Consider the following 27,761-nt stretch of genomic DNA (forward strand, 5'->3'; position numbering starts at 1 on the left):
TATTCCCCAGCTGTTGAGGCTGTTCATACCCTCACCTTCTAGGAAAGATATCAAAACAGTTTCACGAAGATTTAACAAATGACTGCTATTATTTCTCTTAGAGGTACCTTGTTTAACCCAGTATTCTCAGGGAGAGTTCAGAAAATAGAAATAATGTTCATTTCAAAGCACCTTTTCAATACAATATTTCTTGGTAAAATGCTGTTCTTATAATGTGATTTAAATTTATTTTTATTTATTTATTCATTTGTTTACTTTTTTTTGAGACTGAGTCTCGCTCTGTCGCCCAGGCTGGAGTGCAGTGGCACCATCTCAGCTCACTGCAACCTCCGCCTCCCTGGTTCAAGCGATTCTCCTGCCTCAGCCTCCTGAGTAGCTGGGATTACAGGTGCGCAGCACCACACCTGGCTAATTTTTTTTGTAATTTTAGTAGAGACGGGGTTTCACCATGTTGGTCAGGCTGGTCTCGAACTCCTGACCTCATGATCCACCCGCCGTAGGCTCCCAAAGTGCTGGGATTACAGGCGTGAGCCACTATGCCTGGCCACTTTAAATTTATTTTTGTCAAACCTGAGGAGATGCAGGTTTTGCTCATTTAATTTATGAAAATGTATCTAGTTAGTAAAGTCAGTCCTATTTGTGAAACAAACGAGGTAAATCAGAGTTACTTTGTGAAAAAAAGTCTAACTTCTTTTTTGTCTAAGCTCATTTTCAATACAAATATGTGTTCATATATGTTTCAAGAAAGATTATAAACCATTGGGAAATAAATTAGAGATAGCATCTAGAAACATTAGTAAAGACAAGACGAAAGTTAGACTGCTCTAGTGTAATTGGCTTCTCCACTTTATGTTATAAACCAAGATGAAAAGAATATGCTATTTATTACTTATTTTGAAACAATGCACTAAAATGTGTCACTAAAGTTACAAGTAAGTCATTAAGTGAGCAGTATGATTAAAGGCATTGTATGCTTCTCTTATTTATTTGTTTATTATCTCTTCTTTTAGAGAGAAGGGTCTCATTCTGTTGCCTAGGCTGGAGTGCAGTGGTGTGATCAATAGCTCACTGCAACCTTGAACTTCTGGGCTCAAGTGATGCTTTTGTTACTATGTATGGCATGTGTCAAATACAAGTATTTGGCTTTCAGAATAGTTAAGTAAGAATCATGTATAAAAATCAGCAATAGAGCAGGGCATGGTGGCTCACGCCTGTAATCCTAGCTCTTTGGGAGGCTGTAGCAGGAGGATTGCTTGAGGCCAGGAGCTTGAGACCAGTCTGGGCAACATGATGAGACTTTAAATGTAGAGCTTTCGTGCTTGCAAGAAAGAAATGTGAGTTTGCAGGTGACAGAAAGGAAGCAGGTCTTGAAATCAGAGGGAAAAGATTCCAGCTACCATTGCAATTGCTGGTGGCAGTGGGGGCTGGGGAGAAAATGTCATAAGTCAAGAACTTGGATTTTAAGGCATACCTAGGAATGAAGCACCTTAGTCCTGGGCCTGGTACAGACAGATAATCCTGTGTGAAGCTGGAACTCTCAAAGAGTGGCACCCTCAGTGAAAGGACACATAGCAAAAAATCTACTCACCAGCCCAGAGAGGTGACAAGAAAATACATATTTTCTTGTCTATCTGTGTGTATGCATGTATGCACATATGTATGTATGTATGTATTTCTTGTCTGTCTTTATATATGCAGAAGAAAGAGTTAGAAAAAAGAATTTCTGCAGAGTCATTAAAAACCCAGACCTGCTTTTCACATTGCTTTTGACTTTGCTTAATACTCTCTTTGTGGTCAAGAAACACTTAAATTAAGAAGTTAACATAAAAATTGATTCTGGGCCAATGGTAAACCCTAGAGGCACTTACAGGAGCAAACGTAAAATCACTCTGGATACTCCTTCAACCAAGGTCACATGAAGGTCTCATAGACTAAAACAAATCAATGTAAAACAGAGTTCATAGAAAAACAGCGTAAAACACAAGAAAAAAATCACCCATAAGCTCAGTTAAGAGAACAAAACAAGAGCACTGGAGCCTTAAAATCCTGAAACATTAGACTAACATTCTAAAAGGTGATGTAAAATAAGTATTGTTTAAAATAATTACAAATGAAATAAGAAATCAAAACCCTATGATTAGGAAAAAGAGTGTATGAAGAAACAACAGATAAATCTAGAGAACTACCAAAGGGAAATTTTAGAAATGAAAGACATAATCACCAAAATTTAAAGCAAATGGTTAAATAGCAGATAAGACACAATTAAAGAGAAAGAACCAATTAACTAGAAGTTAAAGCTGAGGCTATTTGCCAGAAGGGAGGGAGGGAGAGAGAGAGAGAGAGAGAGAGAATATGAGTGAAAAGTTGAGATATGGAAGATAGGAACATACTCAAAATAGAAGGGAGAGATAAGAGAGATAATAGAAGGGAGGGGGAAGATGACAATGGCTGAGAATGTCCAGGACTGAAAAAAGATGTAACTCTTCAGATTCCAGAAGCATAAGTCCTAAAAGCATAGAGAAAAGCAAATCCACATATAGCTACATTTACTGACAAAGACATACAGACGGACTTAAGAACTCAAAGAGAGGAAATATAGATTACTCACAAGAAAACAGCAATTAGACAGAAGACTTCTCATGACAACAATACAGGCCAGAAACAAAGGATTAATATCTTCAAAGTGGGTAGGAAAATATAAAAATAAATCTAGAATTCTGTACCCAGTTAAGCATACTTGAAGCATAAGATGAAATAAAGGAAGCTTCAGACAAAAAAAAAAAAAAAAGCTGAGAAAATTTAAACTCATAGACCTTTCCTAAAGGAGCTACTAAAATTTGTATTTCAGAAAGAAGAAAATCAAACTCAGGAAGAAATGCAATGCAAGAAACTATTATTAAATGAAAAAGAGTAATTAGGCACAGTGGCTCATTCCTGTAATCTCAGCACTTTGGGAGGCTGAGGAAGGAGGATTGCTTGAGCCCAGGAGTTCAAGACCACCCTGTGCAAGATGATGAGACCCCAGATCTACCGAAAAAAAAAATGCAGTGAGCTGTGATTACAGTGAGCTATGATCTTGTCACTGCACTCCAGCCTGGGTGACAGAGTAAGTCCCGATCTCAAAATTTTTTTAAATCTCACAAGGACAAGGGAAGAAGAGAGAAAAAATAATAAGAGTTTGGAACCTGGAAAGCACGTGGACAGGTGATAACTGACTTAGCAGACCTGAGAAAGCTGACTTTCAAACCAGTAGTAGGGAAAACCAAGAAGCAACATGACAGTAGGATTTCTCGGGGTAAGAGAGTTTTTTTTGCACTGGATACGTCTGAAAGTGGGTGTGTAGGTGAGACTAAACCCAGGACGATTTCTTGTAAGTCTGTACAAGAAGCAGTCAGCATCCCCAATACTGCACAGCGGCCACTGTCCCTCTTCCACGAGGGTGGATGATTGGAAGCATGTTCTCTGAAGAATCATGCAGTGGCTCTCTGGAATGGGGACACCAGATGTAGTCGAGGTGTTCTGGCTATCTAAGGTTGCCTAAAAAACCACCCCAACACTTGAAGGTTACATAAAACAGTGACCATTATATCTCATGATTTTGTGGGTCTGAATTTGAACTGAGCAATTCTTCTGTCCCACCTGGCATCAAGAAAGGTCACTTGGTGTTATCCAGCTGGCAGATGGACCAGTCTGGAGAACTCACATATTGGGTACCATGATAAGAAGAGCTGGAAGGTTGGTCTCAACTGGCACTGTAAACTAGAGCATCTACACATGCCCCTTCACATGGCAGGCTCAGGGTCAGATTTCCTTCATGGAGGCTCAGGGTTTCCAGAAAGGATACTCCAAGACATCCAGGCAGAAGTTACAAGCCTTCCTATGCACGCTTGGAAGCTGTTGAACATTATTTCTGTTGCATTCTATAAATCATGCCAGTCACTAGGGCCAGTCTAGATTTAAGGGAAGGGGATTAGGCTCCATCCCTGAGTGGGGAGGGGTGGGAGGGTGCAAAGAATTTGCAGCCATCTTTCATCAAGGCCATGAGATTAACACAAGACTAGGGCTACTGTACTGAAATTGAAGAGCCATATGAAACTTAAGATGATGTCTACTGAGCTGCTTGGTATTCTTCCTGCTTGGCTCCTAGAACTCTGGCAGCCAGGTTCAAACTCACCAGGATGGAGAATTTGGAATACTTTTCTTTGGGGACTCTAAGAGGAAAGACCTGAAGAGATGTAATCATTTATGCAATGAAACTGGAGCAACCTGTTGGTAAACTCACCCTTGTCAAGCCCCACCCACTTACACACGCACTCAGGGCTTCCAGGCAGCTTTGTAGACCTCACTCTTAGGGTTGCGAGATAAAATACAGGACACTTAGTTAAATTTGATTTTCAGTTAAACAGTAAATAATTTTTTACTAAAATATAAAATACTCATGTACTATAAGTATGTCCTAAATACTGCATGAGACATACATGTACTAAAAATTGTTGTTTATCTAAAATTCAAATTTAACCAGATGTCCTGGTTTTTCTTTTTCTTTTTTTTTTTTTTTTTTGAGATGGAGTCTCCCTCTGTCACCCAGGCTGGAGTGCAGTCGCATGATCTCCACTCACTGCAAGCTCCGCCTCCCAGGTTCACGCCATTCTCCTGCCTCAGCCTCTTGAGTAGCTGGGACTACAGGCGCCCACCACCACGCCCAGCTATTTTTTTTTGTATTTTTAGTAGAGACGGGGTTTCACCATGTTAGCCAGGATGGTCTCGATCTCCTGACCTCATGATCCTCCCGTCTCGGCCTCCCAAAGTGCTGGGATTACAGGCGTGAGCCAATGCACCCGGCCTTTTTTTTTTTTTTTTTTTTTTTTTTTTTTTTTTGCTAAATATAGCACACTTACATAAGAGCAGAGCCAAAGGTCATCACAATATAAGGGAAGGATCTGACAATAAAGATAGAATCCAAAACACGCTAACAGAGAAAATGAAATGAGGAAGAAAAAGACTATGGGGAGAAGAAAACTTTGAGAAATCTACTATTGAGCTTCTCTGAGAAAGATCAGAAATGCTGGGCATGGTGACACAAGACTGTAGTCCCTGCTTCTCCACAGGCTAAGGTAGGAGGATTGCTTGAGCCCAGTTTGAGGTTGTAGTGTGCTATTATCATGCCTGTGAACAGCCACTGCACTCTAGCCTGGGTGACATAGAGAGACCCTGTGTCAATAAAAAAAGAATACTCTAAAAAATGAACACTCAGAGAACCAAATGGAGTTCTTTTAAATTAAAAATCTGATAGCAAAAATGAAAAACTCAGTAGAATGTTAAGAAGATAAAGTTAGAAATTATCCTAGAATGCATAGGCAAAAGGCAAAGAGAAGGGAAAGAAATAAGAAAGGTTAAGATTAGAAAGCCAGCCCTGGACATCTGGGAAACAGGGGAAGAAATGAATTAAATAATTCAATTATATATTTTGAGAACTAAAGAGCATGAATTTCCACATTGAAAGTGCTGAGTACAGTGCAATGGACAAAACCAGAACCACACCAGGGCACGTTGTGATATGGAAGACTGAGGACATAGAGAAGATCTTACAAGTGCCTAGGAGGAAATGAAGTTTCACTTAAAGAATCCAGAATGAGAATGGCATCTGATTTCTCAGTAGCAACACATGAAACTGAAAGACAATGGAATAATGTCTTTAAAATCTGAGGGAAAATAACTTCCAACATAGATTCTCATACCCATCCAAATGTAGTAGTAAAGCGTGGGGGTAAATGTATTTCAGACACGTACAATTTCAAAATATTTATCTTCCATGTACCTTTTTTCAAGAAGCTTTCAGAAGGTGAAAGCTTTTCCACCAAAATAAGGACATAAATCAAGAAAGCTTTTGTGTGTGTGTTTTTTTAAATGAATAGCAAAATGAACAACTAAAAATTGAATGGTGGGGAAGGGTAATAAGCTAACACTATAGTTACAGCTTTCTAAAGTACTTTCTAGAGTACACCTAACATTTACTTACTATGTGCACTTACTATGTGCCAGTCATTATTCTAGGTGATTCACATCAATGGTATCAATCAGTTAATCTTCACAACAGCTATATCAGTTACATTCTTGCATAGAATAGGTGTCAGTAAGTATTACTATTGACGGTATACAATTGTTATTAATTCAACAAGTCACATTAAACTTCCTGCAGCAGACTGTATTTTTCAAAATTGGCAGCAACAGTATGTTCAATCCCATGTGCTCTTCCAAAAACCCTACCCCCTACCTCAATCAAGAGATGGCATCTATGTCCTTTCCCCTTGAACCCAGGTAGGCTTCTCGGACGGGTTTCTGTGACTGCACCTCTAAAGTAATGCTATGTTGGCCAGGCGCAGTGGCTTATGCCTGTAATCCCAGCACTTTGGGAGGCTGAGGCAGGCAGATCACTTGAGGTCAGGAGTTCGAGACCAGCCCGGCCAACACGGCAAAACCCCGTGTCTACTAAAAATACAAAAATTAGCTGAGTGTCATGGTATGCACCTGTAATCCCAGCTACTCAGGAGGCTGAGGCAGGAGAATCACTTGACCCTGGGAGGTGGAGGTTGCAATGAGCTGAGATCGCGCCACTGCATTCTAGCCTGGGTGACAGAGCAAAACTCTGTTTCAAAATAAACAAAAATAAATAAAGTACTGCTATGTGACTTTCAAAACCGCATCTTGAAAGGTAGTACAGCTTCCATCTAGCTCTCTTGCTCGTAATATGTGCCTTTGGAGCATATAAGTACATGAAACCACCGTGCGGCAGAGATCACGTGAACAGACCACGTTAAAATAGAGTCCGAGGAACCCTGGCTGTTGAAGCCCGCAGCGGTTTGAGTTTTCCCTGTCCCAGTGCCAGACATGTGAATGATTCTGAGGCCCTCAAGATGACTCCAGCATTATCCCTGTCTCATGGCAGCCAGGCAACACACTCTGAGTGGTACCACCTAGCTGAGTCCAGTCACTCACCAGAATCATGAGAGATAACAACAATAAATGATTGTTTCAATCATCTGCCTGGGCGACAGAGTGAGACTCCACCCCAGAATTGTGGGTGTTATTTTTTTGGAGCAATAGACAAGCAGAACATTTCCAGATAAAAGTGAGTTTTAGCCTAGACTTCTGAATCTCCTATCCCTATACTCATTTAAATAGCCCAAGGCATGTAAAGAGGGGAATTTTTATCCTTAGTGGCAAGTCTCCTTTCTGATACTGTAGCTGAATCCAAAGCTTGTAGACACAAGTGATAAAAAAACAGATTAATTAGATTTCATCAAAATTAAGAACTCTTCAAAACACACTTAAGAAAACAAAAAGACAACCCACAGAATGGGGGAAAGCATGTGCAAGCATATGTCTGATAAGGTACTTGTACTCAGAATAGATAAAGAACTCTTACAACTCAGCAATAAAAAGCAACAAATAACCTAATTTAAAATGCACAAGGGCCAGGCATGGTGGCTCACACCTATAATCCCAGCACTTTGGGAGCCTGAGGCAGGCGGATCACAATGTCAGGAGTTCAAGACCAGCCTGGGCAATATGGTGAAACCCTGTCTCTACAAAAAATACAAAAAAATAGCGGGGCGTGGTGGTGGGCACCTGTGGTCTCAGCTACTTGGGAGGCTGAGGCAGGAGAATCACTTGAACCTGGGAGGCAGAGGTTGCAGTGAGCCAAGATCACACCATTGCACTCCAGTGTGGGCTGAATAGGTATTTCTGCAAAGAAGGTACACACATGGCCAATAAACACATGAAAAGGTGCTAAACATCATTGATTATTAGGGAAATGCATACCAAAACCACAATGAGATACTACTTTACAGCCATTGGGGTAGCTGTAATTGAAAAAACAGACAATAACAAGTGTTGACAAAGATGTGGAGAAGCTGGAACTTTCATACAATGCTGGTAGAAATGTAAAATGTGCAACTGGTGGAAAACAGTTTGCTAGTTTCTCAAAAGGTTAAACAGTATCACCATATGACACAGGAATTCCAGTCATAGTGATATACCCAAGAGGAATAAAAGCATATGTATGCAAAAAAACTTATACACAAATGTTCATAGCAGCATTATTCATAGTAGCCGAAAAGTGGAAACAACCAAAATGTCCAGTAACTGATGAATGGATAAACAAAATATGGAATATTCATACAATGCAATATTATTCTACAATGAAAAAGAATTAAGTACTGATACATACTACAACATGGATGAATCTTTAAAGCATTATGCTAAGTGAAAGAAGCCAGTAACAAAGGACCACATATAATATAAAATATCAGGCTGGGTGTGGTGGCTCATGCCTGTAATCCCAGCACTTTGGGAGGCCAAGGTGGGAGGATCACTTGAGGCCAGGAGTTTGAGACCAGCCTGGCCAACATGGCAAAATCCTGCCTCTACTAAAAATACAAAAATTAGCTAAGCGTGTTGGTGCACACCTGTAGTTCCAGCTACTCAGGAGGCTGAGGCACAAGAATCACTTGAACCTGGGAGGTGGAAGTTGCAGTGAGCTGAGATCACATCACTGCACTTCAGCCTGGCCGATAGAGTGAGACTCCATCTCAAAATAAAATAAAATAATAAAATAAAATGAAATAAAATAAAATAAAATAAAATAGTAAAATAAGCAACTCTATGGAGATAGAAATTAGATTAGTGGTTGCCTAAAGCTGAGGAGGCAGAGAGGGTGGGAAGGAAATGAAAGAGACTGCTAATGGGTACAGCATTTCTTTTTGAAGTGATACAAGTGTTCCAAAATTGATTGTGGTGATGGTTGCACAACTCTGTGAATATACAAAAAACTATTGAATTGTACACTTCACACAGGTAAACTGGCACGTGAATACCTCGACAAAGCTATTGAAAAAAAGAAAGAGATCCTTTTGTAGTTCATGGGCATAATGATTGGTATTCACGCACATGTGTGAGATGTGCCACACTCAAACCTTGTTATGACCTCGGCACATTACCCATCTGACCTGAAAAAAAAAAAAAGGAAAGAAAAATAAAAGTCCCATAAAAGTGTTATAGACTGATTCAGTCCGATGTACAAAATACTCTGGCCTATCTGTAGAGAACTGGACAGGATATCCTGTGATGTGATGTATGGGGATGCTGTGGCAACATTTATGTCAGTTCTTCTCTCTCTTTTTTGTCTCTTTTGTCCTTTTCTTCTCCTCTCCACATAGCATGTGATCTATTCTTTATTATCAGTTATCTATTGACCCAACAATGTGGGTAACAAAGCACCTGAAGACTCATTTTTATTGCTCCCAAGGCCATGGCAGCTGAGCCATTCTTCCTGCTTAGATGGGACTTGCTGCTGCACCCGGAATCAGCAGTTGATCTTGGCTGGGCTCTCTTGTGTATTGGGGGTTGACTGGAATTTGTGGGACTAGGATGGTCTCTGCTTTTCTCCATGTGTCTTTGCATTCCTCCATTGGGCTAGCCGGGACAAGCCGTCATGCTGAGGCAGAGATGCACTAGTGAGCATGCAGAAATGCACAGGTGCTTTTCAAGTCCCTGCTCGTCTCATGTCTGATAACATTCCATTGGCCTAAGTATGTTACCAGAGGAATGTTCAGTAACAGGAGGAAGGGACAATAAAATTACAAGGCAAAGAGTGTGGAGCCGGGTAGCCTTTAATTGGGGCCATTAATACTATGCATGGACCGGTTTATAAGTCCATGCTTATCTGTTTTATAAACTCTAGGTTGTTTACTAAAGATTATGAATTCAGTCATTTCCCCTCCAAGTGAAATTTTTTTCTATTTTTATTTGTTATTACAGAAGTATAAGGAATGAGTCAGAGAACATAGACAAGCTAAATGAAGACAAAGAAGTATGATATACGGCATGGTGGCTCATGCCTGTAATCCCAGCACTTTAGGAGGCTGAGGTGGGAGGATTGCTTGAGCCCAGGAGTTAAGACCAGCCTGGGGCAACATAGTGAGACCCTGTCTCTACAAAAAATTTTTTTAAAAAAAGTATGAATTGTCCCTTTCCTAGAGACAATCACTCTTGAGATACAGTCTTCCAGGTATTTCTCTCTACATTTGTGTATAGGTAAATATACACATATATATCTTTCTCATTATATATGTATAGACACATACATGTATGTGTATAATAAAAAATATTAATTTAGAACCGTCATTTCATCTTGATGAAGTTAGGTTTCACTGAGTGATATGTAAAACTCACCTTCTGCATGTGGAAATTCATTGTCTTCAGGCACAGCCATATTACGCTGTGTATAACTCCTGTCTGTGGAATGAGACACTTTGGCTTCTGCAGCAGGCTTGCCTTCTGGTATTCACGTGGTCAGTAATATTACCACATGTCCCACAAGATGGTAAACGCTGACACACAAATGTTATATAGTCATCATGTATTTTCTTGAGAAATTAAAATTATTTATTTAAACATATACTTTATTTCCATTCCTTTTGAGCCTTTTTTTTTTTTTCTTGAAGGCAGAGTCTCGCTCTATCACCCAGGCTGCAGTGCAGTGGTGCGATCTCGCCTCACTGCAACCTCCGCCTCTCAGGTTCAAGTGATTCTCCTGCCTCAGCCTCCCGAGTAGCTGGGATTACAGGTGTGTGCCACCACGCCGGCTAATCTGGCTAATTTTTGTATTTTTAGTAGAGATGGGGTTTCACCATTTTGGCCAGGCTGGTCTCAAACTCCTGACCTCAGGTGATCCACCCGCCTCGGCCTCCCAAAGCACTGGGATTACAGGCCTAAGCCACTGCGCCTGGCCTTCTTTGAGCCCATTTTTGTCAAACAATTTATTACCAGTATAAGGGTGTAACCAAACAAATTTTTGTTTATAAAGAATCATAAGGCCGGGCGCAGTGGCTCACGCCTGCAATCCCAACACTTTGGGAGGCAGAGGTGGGCAGATCACTGGAGGTCAGGAGTTTGAGACCAGCCTGGCCAACATGATGAATCCTTGTCTCTACTAAAAATACAAAAAATTAGCCAGGCATGGTAGTACACACCTGTAATCCCAGCTACTTGGGAAGCTGAGGCAGGAGAATTGCTTGAACCCAGGCGGCAGAGGTTGCAATGAGCCGAGATCGCGCCACTGCACTCTAGCCTGGGCGACAGAGTGAGACTCCATCTCAAAAAAAAAAAAGAATCATAGATTTTACCATACAATAAATACCAAAACCACTGTAACAAGAGTGTCCATGTACCTTCTATATTCTTTATTGCAGGACTGTTCAGCCTTTATTTCCTGCACATAGTTTATATAATCTAATCTAGAATTTCTCATGTTTCCCACTGACTCTGTTGCCTGGCTGGCCTCATCCTACTGTCTTGTATACCAAATAGTTATCAGGAGCAGGCACATCTAATACTTCTCCCACCGCTACTCAAGATTGTAAAGACTTCACCTTCCTTGCCTTATTTTACTGATAAGTGCCCAGCAGACTGCCCTTGAAAGAGACTTAATAGTTATCTTGCCTCTGGGAAGAGTTGGGGGGAAAAGTACTGATCATTACTAGTGATATTCCACTTTTAACCTTGTGTCACAAACCTGTGTTTGCTGCACACGTGTCTTATACACTAGAGACAGGGTAGGAACTGAAGCACAAAGTGAAAGTTTACCAAAATCATTCCAGCATATTATAAAGCAACTATGAATATGTGGCTAAAAAATGACAAATGGCCAGGCACGGTGGCTCATGCCTGTAATCCCAGCATTTTGGGAAGTCGAAGCAGGTGGATCACTAGAAGTCAAGAGATCAAGACCATCCTGGCCAACATGGTGAAACCCCATCTCTACTAAAAACACATAAATTAGCTGGGTGTAGTGGCACACACTTCTAGTCCCAGCTACTTGGGAGGCTGAGGCAGGAGAATTGCTTGAACCTGGGAGGTGGAGGTTGCAGTGAGCTGAGATCGCACCACTGCACTCCAGCCTGGCGACAGAGCGAGACTCAATCTCAAAAAAAAAAAAAAAAAAAAAGACAAATGAGACAAATGCTAAAATAGAGATGGCGACTGGTCCACAGTAAACTTGAAGCAAGGTCACCCTAATTATAAAGCTATAGTAACTAAGACAATGTGGCATGGGCACAGGGATAGACAACTGGCAGAATAGAGAGACCAGAAATTGACCTATGGATAAATGGAGACCTGATAGATGACATATACATGGGGAAGAGTAAATAGTACTGGAAAATTTGGTTATCTACGGAAAAAATGAAAGTGGACCCTTACCTTACATCAATCATAAAAATCAATTCAGGGTCAGGCGTGATGGCTCACACCTGTAATCCCAGCACTCTAGGAGGTTGAAACAGGGCAGACTGCTTGAGCTAAGGAGTTTGAGACCAGCCTGAGCAACATAGTGAGACCCCTGTCTCTGCCAAAAATACAAAATTTAGCCAGGCATGATGGTGCACACCAGTAGGCTCAGCTACTCAGGAAGCTGAGGTGGGAGGATCACTTGAGCCCAGGAGGTCAAGGCTGCAGTGAGCCAAGATCACACCACTGCACTCCAGCATGGGTGACAGAGTCAGACTCCATCTCAAAAAAAAAAAAAAAAAAAAAAAAGAAGGGAATACCATCAATAATCAATTCAGAATGGACCTAAAATGTGAAGAGCAAATGTTTTAAATATTTAGATAATAGAATGAGTAGAATAGCTTTATGACTTTGGGGTGGAGAAGGATTCCTTAAATAAAACACAAAAAGCACAAACCTTTAAAAAATGATAAATTTGAGACTACATTAAAATCAATAACTTTTGTTTATAAAAATACCATAAAATGCATAAAATGACAGGCTAAAACTCAATCAAAATATCTGCAACTCTAGTAACAGTAAAGTTTAGCATCCTGAATATGTAAAGAACTCCTGTGAATCAATAAGAAACAACACAAGAGAAAAAGCAATGCAAAAAAGACCTGTCAAGACATTTTACAGAATAAAAAATATGAATTGGGCATGGTGGCTCATGCCCATAATCCCAGCACTTTGGGAGGCCAAGGCTGGTGGATCATCTGAGGTCAGGAGTTCTAGACTACCCTGGCCAACATGGTGAAACCCTGTCTCTACTAAAAATACAAAAATACAAATTAACCAGGTGTAGTGGCGCATGCCTGTAATTTCAGCTACTCGGGGGGCTGAAACAGGAGAATTGCTTGAACTTGGGAGGCAAAGGTTGCAGTAAGCTGAGATTGCGCCACTGCACTCCTGCCTGGGCGATATAATGAGACTCCATCTCAAAAAATATATATATATACACACATATGAATTGTGAATAAGTACACAAAAAAGATGCTTGACCTCATTCATAGTCAGGGAAATGCAACACCAATCCTTGGTAAGGCATGCTATCACTGCTAAAGAGTCAGAAACCAACAAGTGTTGATAAGATGTGGAGCAACTAGAACTCTCATTCACTGCAACTGAGAGTATAAACTGTACAACTAATTTGCAAAACAGTTTGATATTTTATTAAAAGTGCAAAAACCTTATGACTCAGTGATTCAATTCTCACATGTTTACATCCTAGAAAAACTCTTGAGGATGGGTAGCAGGAGACATGTGGGAAATGATCTTAAAACATTGTTTTTATAGCAAACAAACAAATATAATTGGAAGCAACCCATTATTTATAGATTGGAGATAAATTGTGGGATATTCATGAACCACAGTTACATGATCAACATGGTTGAATATAAAACACTACTGAGTGAAAAAAATTATGTACTTTATTATGTATTTTATTTATTTATTTATTTATTTATTGAGACAGAATGTCGCTCTGTCACCCAGGCTGAAGTACAGTGGTGTGATCTCGGCTCAGTGCAACCTCTGCCTCTTGGGTTAAAGTGGTTCTCCTGCCTCAGCCTCCTGGGTAGCTGGGTTTACAGTTATGTGCCACCACACCCAACTAATTTTTGTATTTTTAGTAGAGATGGGGTTTTGCCATGTTGGCCAGGCTGGTCTTGAACTCCTGACCTCAAGTGATCTGCCTGCCCTGGCCCCCCAAAGTGCTGGAATTACAGGTGTGAGCCACCACAGCCAGCCTATTATGTATTTTAAACAATATTATGTATCTAATAAATACATTATAGTATAATTTTGTTTATATAAATTATACCTTTTAAAAACAGCAAAACCAAACAATATTTTTGTGGATACCTACATGTGTAGAAATAGCATAAAAACATGCTAGTAAATGCCAAAGAAGATATTCAGAATGATGACTATGCATGGGGAGAGAGGGAAGTAAATGGGTTTGGGGAGAGGTTCATAAACAGTTTCAACAGTGTTAATCACTTTGTTTTTTTAAAGACCTGAAACAATTAAGGGAACACACTAATATTTTATGACGCTGGTAGTGGCTTTATGGAAAGTCAATATTTTTTTTCTCTATATAGTCAATTAGTATACATAACATATAAAAAAAAAAGCTCATCGTCACTGGTATTAGAGAAATGCAAATCAAAACCACAATGAGATACCATCTCACACCAGTTAGAATGGCGATCATTAAAAAGTCGGGGAACAACAGATGCTGGAGAGGATGTGGAGAAATAAGAACACTTTTACACTGTTGGTGGGAGCATAAATTAGTTCAACCATTGTGGAAGACAGTGTGGCAATTCCTCAAGGATCCAGAACGAAAAATACCATTTGACCCAGCAATCCCATATACCCGAAGGATTATAAATCATTCTACTATAAAGACACATGCACAGGTATGTTTAGTGCAGCACTGTTCACAATAGCAAAGACTTGGAACCAACCCAAATGCCCATCAATGATGGACTGGATAAACAAAATGTGGCACATATACACCATGGAATACTATGCAGCCATAAAAAAGGATGAGTTCATGTCCTTTACAGGGACATGGATGAAGCTGGACCATCATTCTCAGCAAACTAACATGAGAACAGAAAACCAAACACTGCATGTTCTCACTCACAAATGGGAGTTGAACAATGAGAACACATGGACACAAGGAGGGGAACATCACACGCTGGGGTTGGGGGTTGGGGATTGGGGGGCTAGGGGATGGATAGCATTAGGAGAAATACCCAATGTAGATGACGGGTTGATGGGCACAGCAAACCACCATGGCATGTGTATACCTATCTAACAAACCTGCACGTTCTGCACATGTACCCCAGAACTTAAAGTATATTAAAAAAAAAGAAAAGAAACATTTTTTTCAAAGACACACACACACACACACACACACACACACACACACACACAAAGTGAAGGAGAAAAGTGCTGACCTGCAGCCACCCTCAGTGGGAGCTGACTTCTGCACCAACTCCCTCTCTCACTCAGTGGCCCTAGCCCAGTGCCAAACAGGACTGTGGGCTGGGAGAATCCCCCTGGGATTCTGCCTCCCTGCAGACTAAGGCACCTGGGGAGATATGAGGCTGGACTGAATCTGTCCCATTTTGATGTTCCTTACCCTACACGAGGCTTTGGGGTGAAGGGGATAGGGAGAGTGGGTCCCGTCACACATTCCCCCAGCTGGCTGCCCACTGTGCTTCTTACCTGCGGCCACCCTGCGTGCCTCGGTGAACACTGTCTGGTGCAAAGGAGGTATACGAAATGTGTTTGTTGAATTGATCCAAGCCATTATCAGCACTTCAGTGGGCTGGGAGGACATGAAAATAGCTGCATGGTGAAGTGGTGTTTGCTGGTGCCTGTCCTGTCCCCTGCCTCTGCCAGCTCTCTCATGACATTCCTTAGGCAACCTGGCCCGTTTGCAGGAAGCTGACAGCAGGTATTCAGAAATTTTAGGATTTGGGCTTAATTTCAGATAAGCAGGACAACCTGGGCTCTCCCACAATGAAAAATAGATTCTGCTGTTTTTTTCCTGCCTTTTTAACATTTCAAGCCAAGTTCCTATGCCCATCCACCCATATAAAACTTCCTTGTTCAGAAAGTCATCTGCGCAACTGGCAAAGGCACCAGCTCAGAGTTTTCTATTTTTATTCCTGTGTGTAATCAATGGGAACACACTGTGACGGAAATAAAGAATTATGAATTGATAAGAGCAAACCATTGATATTTGCTTTTGTTCCTGGGCAAGCTAGTGAAGGAACATGTACCTAATGTATAGAAATACAATGGTCATTTTATGCTTCTGTCTTTTTACAGAAGCACTCAGCAATTTCTGTGTCTATTTTTAGGGAGGAAAAAGAAACACTTTTAAGATTCAAATTGGGTAAGCTTGGGAAAAGTTTCCACACAGGCTGATTTTCTAGAAATATTGAAATATAAGACATTATCAGCCCTTTCTCTTCTAAATTATTAACCTGTGACTTCAATACCTATTCTCTGTCATCCTCTTACAATAAAAAATAATTGATTCTCCAACTCAGTAACACTATTGATAATTTTTTTAAAATCTCATTTCAAAAATTGTACTCTAACATAAACTGTTTTTTTTTTTTTTTTCGTTTTTTTGAGATGGAGTCTCGCTCTGTCACCCAGGCTGGAGTGCAGTGGCACCATCTCGGCTCACTGCAACCTCCACCTCCCGGGTTCAAGCGATTCTCCTGCCTCAGCCTCCTGAGTAGCTGAGACTACAGGTGCCTGTCACCATGCCCGGCTAATTTTCTGTATTTGTAGTAGAGACGGGGTTTCACTGTGTTAGCCAGGATGGTCTCGATCTCCTGTCCTCGTGATCCACCTGCCTTGGCCTCCCAAAGTGCTGGGATTACAGGCGTGAGCCACCGCGCCCGGCCCAAACTGTTTTTATTTTCCTCAGTCATCCTGCCCCATACAAAGATACTCTCTTTACATAGTAGAATCGCAGCATATAGTTTTATATTCTGTTATTTCACTTACGTATATGATATGACTTCAAAATAAAATGGCATGTGAGTCTCATGACCTTATAGTCATGTTGACAATACTCTATCACATATGTATTTACATAAATATAGATTAAAATTTTATTTTAAAAGGATCTGTGTGCATTTTTATTGTATGTACATGTCATCTCAATGTTAAAACCATTCAGAATTTTAAAAGTTACCTCTTTCACACTGTCAGGCTTCTCAACTAAGATAGAGAAAAGACTTGTTTAGAGCCTAAAGCTGAGCAAAAGTGAGATACCTGGAAGAGTGAGTCATAGGGGCAGAAAGCAGAATGACAGTTTCCAGGGGCTGCGGGGAGGGAGGAATGCAGAGTTGTTGTTTAACAGGAGAGTTGTGGGGATAGATGATGATTCACAGCAACGTGAACGTATCTAATGCCACTGATCTGTATGCTTAAAAATGGTTAAAATGAATCCCAGCACTTTGGGAGGCCAAGGCGGGCAGATCACGAGGTCAGGAGATCAAGACCATCCTGGCTAACACGGTGAAACCCTGTCTCTACTAAAAATACAAAAAATTAGCCAAGCGTGGTCTCAGATTCTCGGGAGGTTGAGGCAGGAGAATGGTGTGAACCCGGAAGGCAGAGCTTGCAGTGAGCCGAGATTGTGCCACTGCACTCCAGCCTGGGCGACAGAGCAAGACTCTGTCTCAAAAAAAAAAAAATAATAATGATAATAATAATAATAATAGTTAAAATGGTAAACTTTATGTTATCTATATTTTGCCACAATAAAAAGAAGTTTTAAAAAACTAAATCAAGATCATTAGAAAATAATGTTTGCTTCTTCAGTCATTTTGAAATGTGAAAAAATGTGAATAAGAAATATATTAATGTTAAAAACTTCTTGAGTTTAGAATAGTAGGTTCAGAAACAAGTGAATAAAGGAATTTCACCTTAAAAGTAAATAAAAATTAAACTAAACAGATGTGGTTCATAGACCTATGGGAAATGAAGTCTTTGAAATTCTGGGAGGCCCAGAATTGGTAATTAGTTAACTAGTTCAAAGTCTCATGCGTAGTGAATGACAGAGACTTGTGAAAACCTAGGCAATGTCTACTAGACAGTATAAAATGATTCAAGTTTTCAACCTCTTGAGAATTTGAATTTTTAAATGTTATATTGTATTTGAATTTGCTTTTAAATTCATTAAATATGTATTGTCTTCAATTTTTTAAAAATAGTGTTTCTGGTTATAAAAGTACATATGTCCTTTGTAGACAATTTTAAAATAAAGTATAAATTAAAAACCATCTCTGGCCGGGCACAGTGGCGCACACCTATAATCCCAGTACTTTGGGAGGCCAAGGCTGGCGGATCATGAGGTCAAGAGATTAAGACCATCCTGGCCAACATGGTGAAACCCTGTCTCTACCAAAAATACAAAAATTAGCTGGGCGTGGTGGCGCATGCCTGTAGTCCCAGCTACTAGGGAGGCTGAGGCAGGAGAATTGCTTGAACCCGGGAGGTGGAGGTTGCAGTGAGCCAAGATCGCATCACTGTACTCCAGCCTGGGCGACAGAGCGGGGGAAAAAAACAAAAAAACACCCCTATTCCCATTCCTAATAGATAAAATTTGTTAATATTTTGGTGTATCTCCTTCTAAGGCTATTTCTTTTTTTATTTTCGTTTTTATTTCTTGTAGAGATAGGTTCTCACTATATCGCCCAGGCTGGTCTCAAACTCCTTGGCCTCAAGCAGTCATTCTACCTCAGCTTCCCAAAGTGTTGGGATTATAGGCGTGAGCCACCACACCCTGCCAAGCCTATTTCTTATGCATATAATTAAAATTATTGTACATAAAATTTTGTCTCTTCTTTTCTTTGCTTAATATTATATTGTATCATATCTCTTTAAGTTATTAAAGGTTCTTCATAAATATATAATTTTTTTTGAGACAGAGTCTCACTCTGTTGCCCAGACTGGAGTGCAATGGCCCATCTTGGCTCACTGCAACCTCTGCCTCCTGGGTTCGAGTGGTTCTCCTACCTCAGCCTCCCAAGTAGCTGAGATGACAGGTGTGTGCCACCACGCCCTGCTGATTTTTGAATTTTTAGTAGAGACAGGGTTTCACCAGGTTGGCCAGGCTAGTCTTGAACTCCTGACCTCAGGTGATCCACCAGCCTCGAGCTCCCAAAGTGCTGGGATTACAGGCGTGAGCCACTGTGCCTGGCCTCATAAATATAATTTTAAATGCCTTCAGAGTATTCTCTCTTATAGCTACATCACAATTTGCTTAATATCCATCTCTTTATTATTGGATATTGTAGGAGCTCAGAACACGATACCCTAATGGATGGCACTTTGGCATGCTGAGTGTTTTGAGCTGAAGGAGACTGGAAGAGCCTCAGAAACAGCAAGCTCCCTCTGACCTTCTCCCTCCCTCCTTTCTCTTTCTCCCATTTCTCCACAGAAGCAGGTGATAGAAAATGGAATTATTCTTCCTTAAGGAAGATAGTAGAAACTAGAACTTCTTACCCCTAAAGCAAGCCAGAAAACCTAGAAATTAACCTCTGAGCATCTCCCTTCTCCCCTGAAGACCCTCATGTGACAGGCATCCTGCCCTGTACCTGGAGAAAAGAGTACTACTTTTGTATTTTTAGACATAATGCTATTGCACCCTTGATAGACTACAGTATGGTGCAAACACAACTTTTCCCCCTCCTCTACTGTGAAGGGAACATAACTTTTATATGCACTGAGAAACCAAAAAAATTTGTGTGACTCACCTTGTCGTGATATTTGCTTTATTTCGGCGGTCTGGAACTGAAACTGCAATATCTGCGAGGTTTATCTGTACACGTTTTGCCCCTATGACATTTAGGCCATTTACAATTTTTGTTATAAATAATGTGGTGATCTGCTTCTTTGTGTATAAAGCCTTTGTCTACCTTTCAAATTATTATTTAATGACAGTTCTAGAAGTAGAATTACTATGTAAAGATTACAAATATTTTTACAACTTTTGGTTTATGTTGCTAAATTGCTTTTTTTTTTCAGAAGGGCATTACAAATCTACACTTTCTTTTCTTTTCTTTTTTTTTTTTTTTTTTTTTTGAGTCAGGGTCTTACTCTGTCACCCAGGCTGGAGTGCAGTGGTGCCATCATGACTCACTGCAGCCTCAACCTCCTGGGCTCAGGAGATACTCCCACCTCAGCCTCCCAAGTAGCTGGAACCACAGGTACACAGCACCACACCGGGCTAATTTTTTGTGTGTTTTTTGTAGAGACTGGGTTTTGCCATGTTGCCCAGGCTGGTCTCCAACTCCTGGGCCCAAGCAGTTCTCCTGCCTAGGCCTCCCAAAGTGCTGGGACTACGGGCATGAGCCACCGTGCCCAGCCCACAAATTTCTATTTCTACTTTCAACAGAAATATATTACACCACTGAGTAAGAATAATAAGACCTAATATTCACGAGGCATTTATTTGTTAACCAAGTACTAGTTACTATATATGTAACAGCTCATCTTTAAAATCTTGTATACTGTTGGTGAAAAAGTTGTCTGTTGTTTTAATTTTATTTATTGATTAATAGTGATATTTAGCTATATTTAAATTTTAAGTTATTTGTAAGTATTTGTAGTTGTAAGCTATTTTTCTATTATGAATTACCATCCTTATTGTTTTACATGAGCTGTTTATATATTGCTGTATTAACCCTCTGTCAGGTCTGCTTTAGCTATTTTTTGAGTTGTTTTTATTGTTTTGGTTTTTTATTGATACACATTACATATTTATTAAGTATATGTAATATTTTGTGGTTTTTTAAATTTTATTTTATTAAAAAGTTTTTGGTTTTGAGACAAAGTCTCACTCTGTTGCCCAGACTGTGGCACAGTGGCATGATCACAGCTCATTGCAGCCTCAACCTCCTGGGCTCAAGTGATCCTCCCACCTCAGCCTCCCAAGTAGATGGACCACAGGCATGTGCCACCATGCCTGGCTAATTTGTTTTTATTTTTTGTAGAAATGTCTATTCATCTCCTTTGCCCACTTTTCAGTGGGATTACTTGAGTTGTTTGAGTTCCTTGTATAATCTGGATATAATTCCCTTGTGGGATGAATAGTTTGCAAACATTTTCTCCTATTAAACAGGTTGTCTCTTCACTTCGTTGATTGTTTCCTTTGCTGTGCAGAAGTTTTTTAGTTTAATATAGTCCTATTTGCTTATTTTTGTGGGGGTTTTTTTCTGTGCTTTTGAGGTCTTAGCCATAAACTCTTGCCCTACACCTGTGTCCTAAAGTGTTTTCCCTATGTTTTCTTCCAGTAGCTTTTAGTTGTAGGTCTTATATTTATGTCTTTGCTCCATCTTGAGTTTATTTTTGCATATGGTGATGGACAGGGTTCCAATTTCATTTTTCTGTAGAAGCATATCCAATTTTCTAAGCACCAATTATTGAAGAGGGTGTCCTTTTCTCAATGTCTGTTATTGGCACCTTTGTAGACAATCAGTTGGCTGGAAATAAGTGGATTTACTTCCGGATTCTGTGTTCTGTGGTCTATGTGTCTGTTTTTATACCAATACCACCCTACTTTGATTGCTATGCTATAACCTTGTAATATATTTTGAAGTCAGGTAGTGTGATGCCTCTTGCTTTGTTCTTTTTACTCAGGATTGCTTTGGCTCTTCAAGCTCTTTTTTGATTCTACATGAATTTTAGGATTTTTTCCCCTATTTCTGTAAAAAATGACATTGGTCTTTTCATAGGAGTTGCATTGAATCTGATTATTGCTTTGGGTAGTTTGGTCATTTTAAGAGCGTTAATTCTTCTGATCTATGAACAAAATATGTCTTTTCATTTGTTTGTGTCCTCTTCAATTTCTTTCATCAGCATTTTGTAGTTTCCCTTATAGAAGTCTTTCACTTCCTTGGTTAAATTTATTCTTAGTCATTTCTCTTTTGTAGCTACTGTAAATGGGATTACCTTCTTGATTTCTTTCTCAGCTAGTTCATTATTGGTGTATAGAAATGCTACTGATTTTTGTACATTGATTTTGTATCCTGCAAATTTAATGAATTCATTTATCAGTTCTAAAAGTTTTTGGGTGCACCCTTTAGGTTTTTCTAGATATAAGATCATGTCATCTGCAAAGGGGAACAATTTGACTTCCTCTTTTCCAATCTGGATGCCTTTTATTTCTTCCTCTTGCCTGATTGCTCTGGCTAGGACTTTCAATCCTGTGTTGAATAGGAGTGGTGCAAGTGGGCATCCTTGTCTTGTTCCAGTTCTTAGGGGAAAGGCTTTCATCTTTTCCCCATTCAGTATGATGTTAGCTGTGGGTTTGTCCTATATGGCCTTTAGTATGTTGAGGTATGTTCCTTCTATGCCTAGTTTGTTGGGAATTCTTACCATGAAGGTATGTTGAATTTTATCAAATGCTTTTTCTGGGTCAATTGAGATGATCATATAGTTTTTGTCCTTCATTCTGTTGATGTAATGTATCACATTTATTGATTGGCGTATGTTGAACCATCCTTACATCCCTGAGATAAATCTCTCTTAATAATGGTGTATTACCTTTTTGATGTGCTGTTGGATTCAGTTTGCTAGTATTTCATTGAGGATTTTTGCATCTGTGTTCATCGGGGATAATGACCTTAGTTTTCTTTTTTTGTTGTTTGGTCCTTGTCTTAGTTTGGTATAAGGATAATGCTGGCCTCATAGAATGAGTTAGGAAGAATTCTCTCCTCTTCACTTTTTTGGAATAGTTTGAGAAGAATTGGTGTTAGTTCTTTGTAAGTTTGGTAGAATTCAGCAGTGAAGCCATCTGGTCCTGGACTTTTCTTTGTTGAGAGACTTTTTATTACTGATTTAATTTCATTACTCATTATTGGTCTGTTCAGGTTTCCATATTTTTCTTATTCAATCTTGGTAGGCTGTATGTGTCCAATAATTTGTTCATTTCCTCTAGGTTTTCCAGTTTGTTAGTGTATAGTTGTTCATAACAGTCTCTGATGATTTTTTGTATTTCTGTGGCATCAGTTACAATGTCTCCTTTTTCATTTCTGATTTTTTTTTTTTTTTTGAAACAAGGTCTCACTCTGTTGCCCAGGCTGGAGTGCCGTGGTGCAATCTCAGCTCACTGCAATATCCACCTCCTAGATTCAAGCAATTCTCCTGCCTCAGCCTCCTGAGTAGCTGGGATTACAGGCACGTGCCACCATATCCAGCTAATTTTGGTATTTTTAGTAGAAATGGGGTTTCACCATGTTGGTCCACCTGCCTGGGCCTTCCAAAGTGCTGGGATTACAGGCATGAGCCTCTGTGCCCGGCCCATTTCTGATTTTATTTATTTGTGTCTTCTCTCCTTTTTCTTGGTTAGTCTAGCTAGCGATTTATCAATTTTGCTTACTTTTTCAAAAAGACAACTTTTCATTTCATTGATCCTTTGTATTGTTTTTTAAGTCTGTATTTCATTTAATTCTGCTCTGATCTTTATTATTAATTTTATTCTACTAATTTGGGGTTTGGATTGTTCTTGCTTTTTTTTTTCCTTTGAGTCAGGGTCTTGCTCTGTTGCCCAGGCTGGAGTACAATGGCTCTATGATGGCTTATTCCAGCCTTGACCCTCTGGGCTCAAGTGAACCTCCCACTTTAGCATCCTAAGTGGCTGGGACCACAATTGTGCACCACTGTGTCTGGCTAAACTTTTTTAATGTTTTGTAGAGACAGGGTCTCCCTATGTTGCCTAAGTATGTTGCCTAAGCTGGTCTCAAACTCCTGGGCTCAAGCCATCCTCCTGATTCAGCCTCCCAAAGTGCTGGGACTACAGGAGTGAGCCACCATGCCTGGCCCGTTCTTGCTTTTCCAGTTCCTTGAAGGCATCTTTAGATCATTTATTTGAAATCTTCCTACTTTTTTGATGTAGGTGTTTATTGATATAAACTCCCCTCTTAGCACTGCTTTTGCTGTATCCCATAGGTTTTCGTACGTTCTATGTCAATTTCCATTTGTTTCAATAAATTTTTTTTAAATTTTCTTTAAGATATTTTACGTTTCTTCTATGTTGTGGAATCTATTGAGTTTTACTTTATGATTCATCCTTGCTTTTTAAAACATTTAATTTTATTTAATGGTTCAGTAATAATAAAGATACCCTTTTACATGTTTACAGTACCTCATTGTTTACATACACTATTTCAAGCTTTTGGAATAGGGACAACTAAAACAGATTCTTGTGTAAATGAGTTTCTTTATATAACTTCACATTCTTTATGTAATGGTTCTTTTGAAGCTTAACAAGTTCTTTCTCAACAACTGTATTTTTTTAATGTGGAATTGACTAAGTATATGAAAATATGAAATAAACAAAATAAAATGGAAAACTATGAGGTCCTTAGAAGTCACATTACATCCCTATATTTGGTGACATTTAAAGAGATGAATGACATCATTGAGAAGTAAGGAGAAATACAGTGCAGCAAATCAAGAACATGCCACTCATGTAAGAGTGAACATCTATCTCCAGGCATGAGAAAGGTCTAGAGAGTTCTTAACAAAATGCTGTCAGTGTTTATTTCTCAGTCTTGAGACGTCAGATGATTTTTATGATCTTCTTTGTGCTTTTCTAATTTGTTTAATATTTTACAGTAAGCATGTATCATTTTTACTAAAATATCCACGTTATTGTTTAAAACAGGAACAAAATTTTTCTACATGCACAAGGATAATAGTATTTGTCTATATTTTTTTCTGGTCTTTTAATTAAGTGTTTATACACACAGAGAGACAGGAATAAAGTTTTCCTTAGCATTTAAATAATTTCCAAGAAGTATATACATTCCTACATATGGGTTAAATAAACACACATATGTCAATAAACATATATTCTAACAAACTCAGGCCTGCTAAATGCGGCTAAAAGTTCCCAGTGAAAAGAACTCTTAGGTGAGCTATATTTTCTAATCTGCAGACCCTCCTACTGCATAACTCTGGATGATGTCATACAAACCTCTTCCTGCATCTGGGACTCTTTCCAGCTGCTACATGTGGGAGCTTCCCGTTTTTGTTCTAATTGAGTGATGTTTACTGGAAATGGAGTCTGCTAATAAGATCTCAGTTCAGATAGCTTTGTGGGGACAGGAAGAATGATTGTGAGATGAATTTGGCCAAAAACCTTTACTTTCTCCCTTGTCATTATCTTGTTTTGATAGGTTGGCTTAGTTTTGTTTTGAAATTACCTCTTCTGAGAAACCAAAGAGGAACGATATGCGCTGTCTTCTTCTTCCTCCTCCTCCTCCTCCTTTTCCTCTTCCTACCAAGACTCCCAACTCAGACTGTTTTTCAGTCTGTCCCTCCATACATACCTGCACACTCACACATCTACTAGAGAGTATATGGAGACAGCCAAGAGCCCTTAGAAAGATAGCTGGGTAATGTACTACTCTGTTCTCTTGAATTTGGATGGAACTTATGACAACACTTAGATGTGAACAAATAAGGCAAGAGAATTTGTCCCAGATTGCACAGCTGGTTATGGCAGAACAAAGCGGTGGTGAACCTAGATTTCATATCTCCTAGCTCAGGGCCTCTGGATTAAAACCCATAAACATTGTTCACATTTTTTTGGAACTATGCATAAGGGCAACTTAGAGAGTTCCAGGTAAGAGAATGCAGCATAACAAGAGTTGATTGTTTTAAGTTGTGTTATGTTAAAGATCAGCTAAGTAAAATTAAAGAGAAAAGCTGCTAAATATACTGAATTATTTCATTTTTGTGGATCTCCTTGATTGTGATTTGCGAGCTCAGAAGTATTAACAGTTTTTCTCAAAAATTTTAAGATGAAAAATTCTCAAGTCCAATTAATTGAAAAGCTTAAGACTACTCTATACCATGCTTCACTTTAGAAAGTAGGGAGCTTGTTGCAAATTCAAACAAGGATGTGGTGTCACAACTCATGAAAGGAATCTCTTATCAAATATCTATCCTACCATCAAATTGCCATTACATCTGCCCGAATGTACATGGGACACAGTTGCGTCAGAAAGGCTAAAGCTCCAAATAAGTTCACATTATTCTGAAACTATCAGATTATGTGATGGATATAATTTGGGTGTTACAGTCTTTGTAGTAAAGTTTGAGGAATGACACCAGGTATGGTCGAGTGCAGTGGCTCATGCCTATAAGATGAGCCTAGGCAACATGGTGAGATCCCATCTCTACAAAAAATACAAAAATTATCCAGGCATGGTGGGGTGGTGTGCACCTGTAGTCCCAGCTACTCAGGAGGTTCCAGTGGGAGGATTACTTGAAACCAGGAGGTTGAGACTGTAGTGAGCCATGTTTGTGCCACTGTACTCCAGCCTGGGCAACAGAGCAAGACTGTCTCAAAAAAAAAAAAAAAAGAAAGAAAGAGAAAAAAAAACCCCATCAGGTAAAATGTAGGGCCACTGTCAATGGGGGACATAGAGAAAACAGAGATCTTCAATTCTCTTCTGCTTCTAACTTTCGGGACAAGGACATTTTTTCTCCACATGTTATCAGTAAGGTGAGGAGAAATAGAGAAAGAGCATAAACTTTGGTAAGCGAAGATAGAAGCCCAAGATGGAATAATAGAGTGAGAAAGAGCCCAAAGCTGCTCCAAGTGATTTCAAGTCCCCAGTTTTGAAGAATGATGTCTTTGGGTCTTGAGAAAACATTGTTGTGGGATCACCAACAATCGTCAGGGATATTTGGGGCATCATAGAGAATAGGAGAGATTCCAGAAGACTGGTAACAGTGGAGTATTCTGATTTTCAGAAAGAGAAAGCAGAGCCAGAAAAAAATGTAGATAATGGTCTGTAACCTCAATCTCAGGCCAGAGTCTAGAAGGGGGGATTATTAGAGGAACAGTTTCAGGCACTAGATAAAAAAGGAATGATTAAGATCCAGATGAGTTCACTAAAAACAAGTCAGGGCTAATTTATCTCTTGGCTTTGACAGAGTTACCAGCCCAGTACCTCAGGGAATGCCCATACATATAGAATATTTTGTTATCAGTTAGACATTTAATAAAGTTTTTTTTTCATGATATTCTTTTGGACAAGACAGAGAGATATAAACTGAATTGTGGCACACTGAATGAATTAGAAACCAGTCAATTGTACGCACAGGTGCTGGCTAACAAACTGTAAAGAAGCATGCAGTGGTGAGTCCCAGGCTGTGTCTGTCCTTCACTGTCTCCTCATAAATGCTTTCAGAATAAATATACAGAAGGTGTGCTCATCAGATTTATAGGCAACATGAAGTTAGAGGGTATGATGAATACTTGAATGGCAGAACGAAAATTCCTAGGTTGAATCTAAAAGGATGAAATTTAAGGGTGATTAATATGAGGTCTAAGGAATTAAATCTATCAGTGAGAATAAGCAATACTTGCTTTAACGGTAACTAAGAGCCTTAACTCAATATGAGTCAGAAGTGTAACGTGGTTGCCAAAAAAACTAAGATTTTAGGCTGTATCCAGTGGTGTGGTAAATATTTAACAACTGGCCCTGGGTTGGGGGCGGAGAGAGGGAGGGACCTTGATTTATAGCTCTGACCAATCTCTGTAGTGTAAATACTCTCACCTTGGCCAGTTTCAAGGTACTGACTTTGTGGCACTGAACTCAGAGGTTGGAAGAGATGTGTGATAGCATGCCATTATGTGGTATTTCCACCACACAGATGCAGTAGATGTGATTAACCTCAAGAGGAGAGATAATAATTAAACACAGTAAAATTACTAGGAAGTAGTATTTTAATTACTTATTACCTTTGTTTTTAATATATCTAATTGTAGGCTTATGTAATTTAACTTTAATTTTTAAAATTATTATTATTATTTTCGAGACAGGGTCTTGTTTTGTTTTGTTTTGTTTTGTTTTTGAGACAGA

At 39.5% G+C, this 27,761-nt stretch overlaps 1 protein-coding gene and 1 non-coding gene across 8 annotated transcripts in view; both read left to right on the forward strand.

Moving 5' to 3' along the window:
• ANXA4 (annexin A4) overlaps nt 1-27,761 on the forward strand; it is a 183,305-nt gene that overhangs the window by 14,642 nt on the left and 140,902 nt on the right. Inside the window, exon 3 of one of the 7 annotated variants that reach the window (XM_047444083.1) lies at nt 19,176-27,034. The exons of the other annotated variants lie outside the window; for them this stretch is intronic. The gene's annotated coding sequence lies outside the window, so the exon portion shown is untranslated. The remainder of the gene's footprint in view (nt 1-19,175; nt 27,035-27,761) is intronic. 7 annotated transcript variants of the gene reach the window in all.
• Nucleotides 8,910-9,012, forward strand: LOC124906149 (small nucleolar RNA U13). Its single transcript, XR_007088738.1, has one exon. It is a non-coding gene; the product is annotated as a small nucleolar RNA U13 (small nucleolar RNA).

This window comes from Homo sapiens, chromosome 2 (assembly GCF_000001405.40).
Source record: "Homo sapiens chromosome 2, GRCh38.p14 Primary Assembly".
Lineage (NCBI taxonomy): Eukaryota > Metazoa > Chordata > Mammalia > Primates > Hominidae > Homo > Homo sapiens.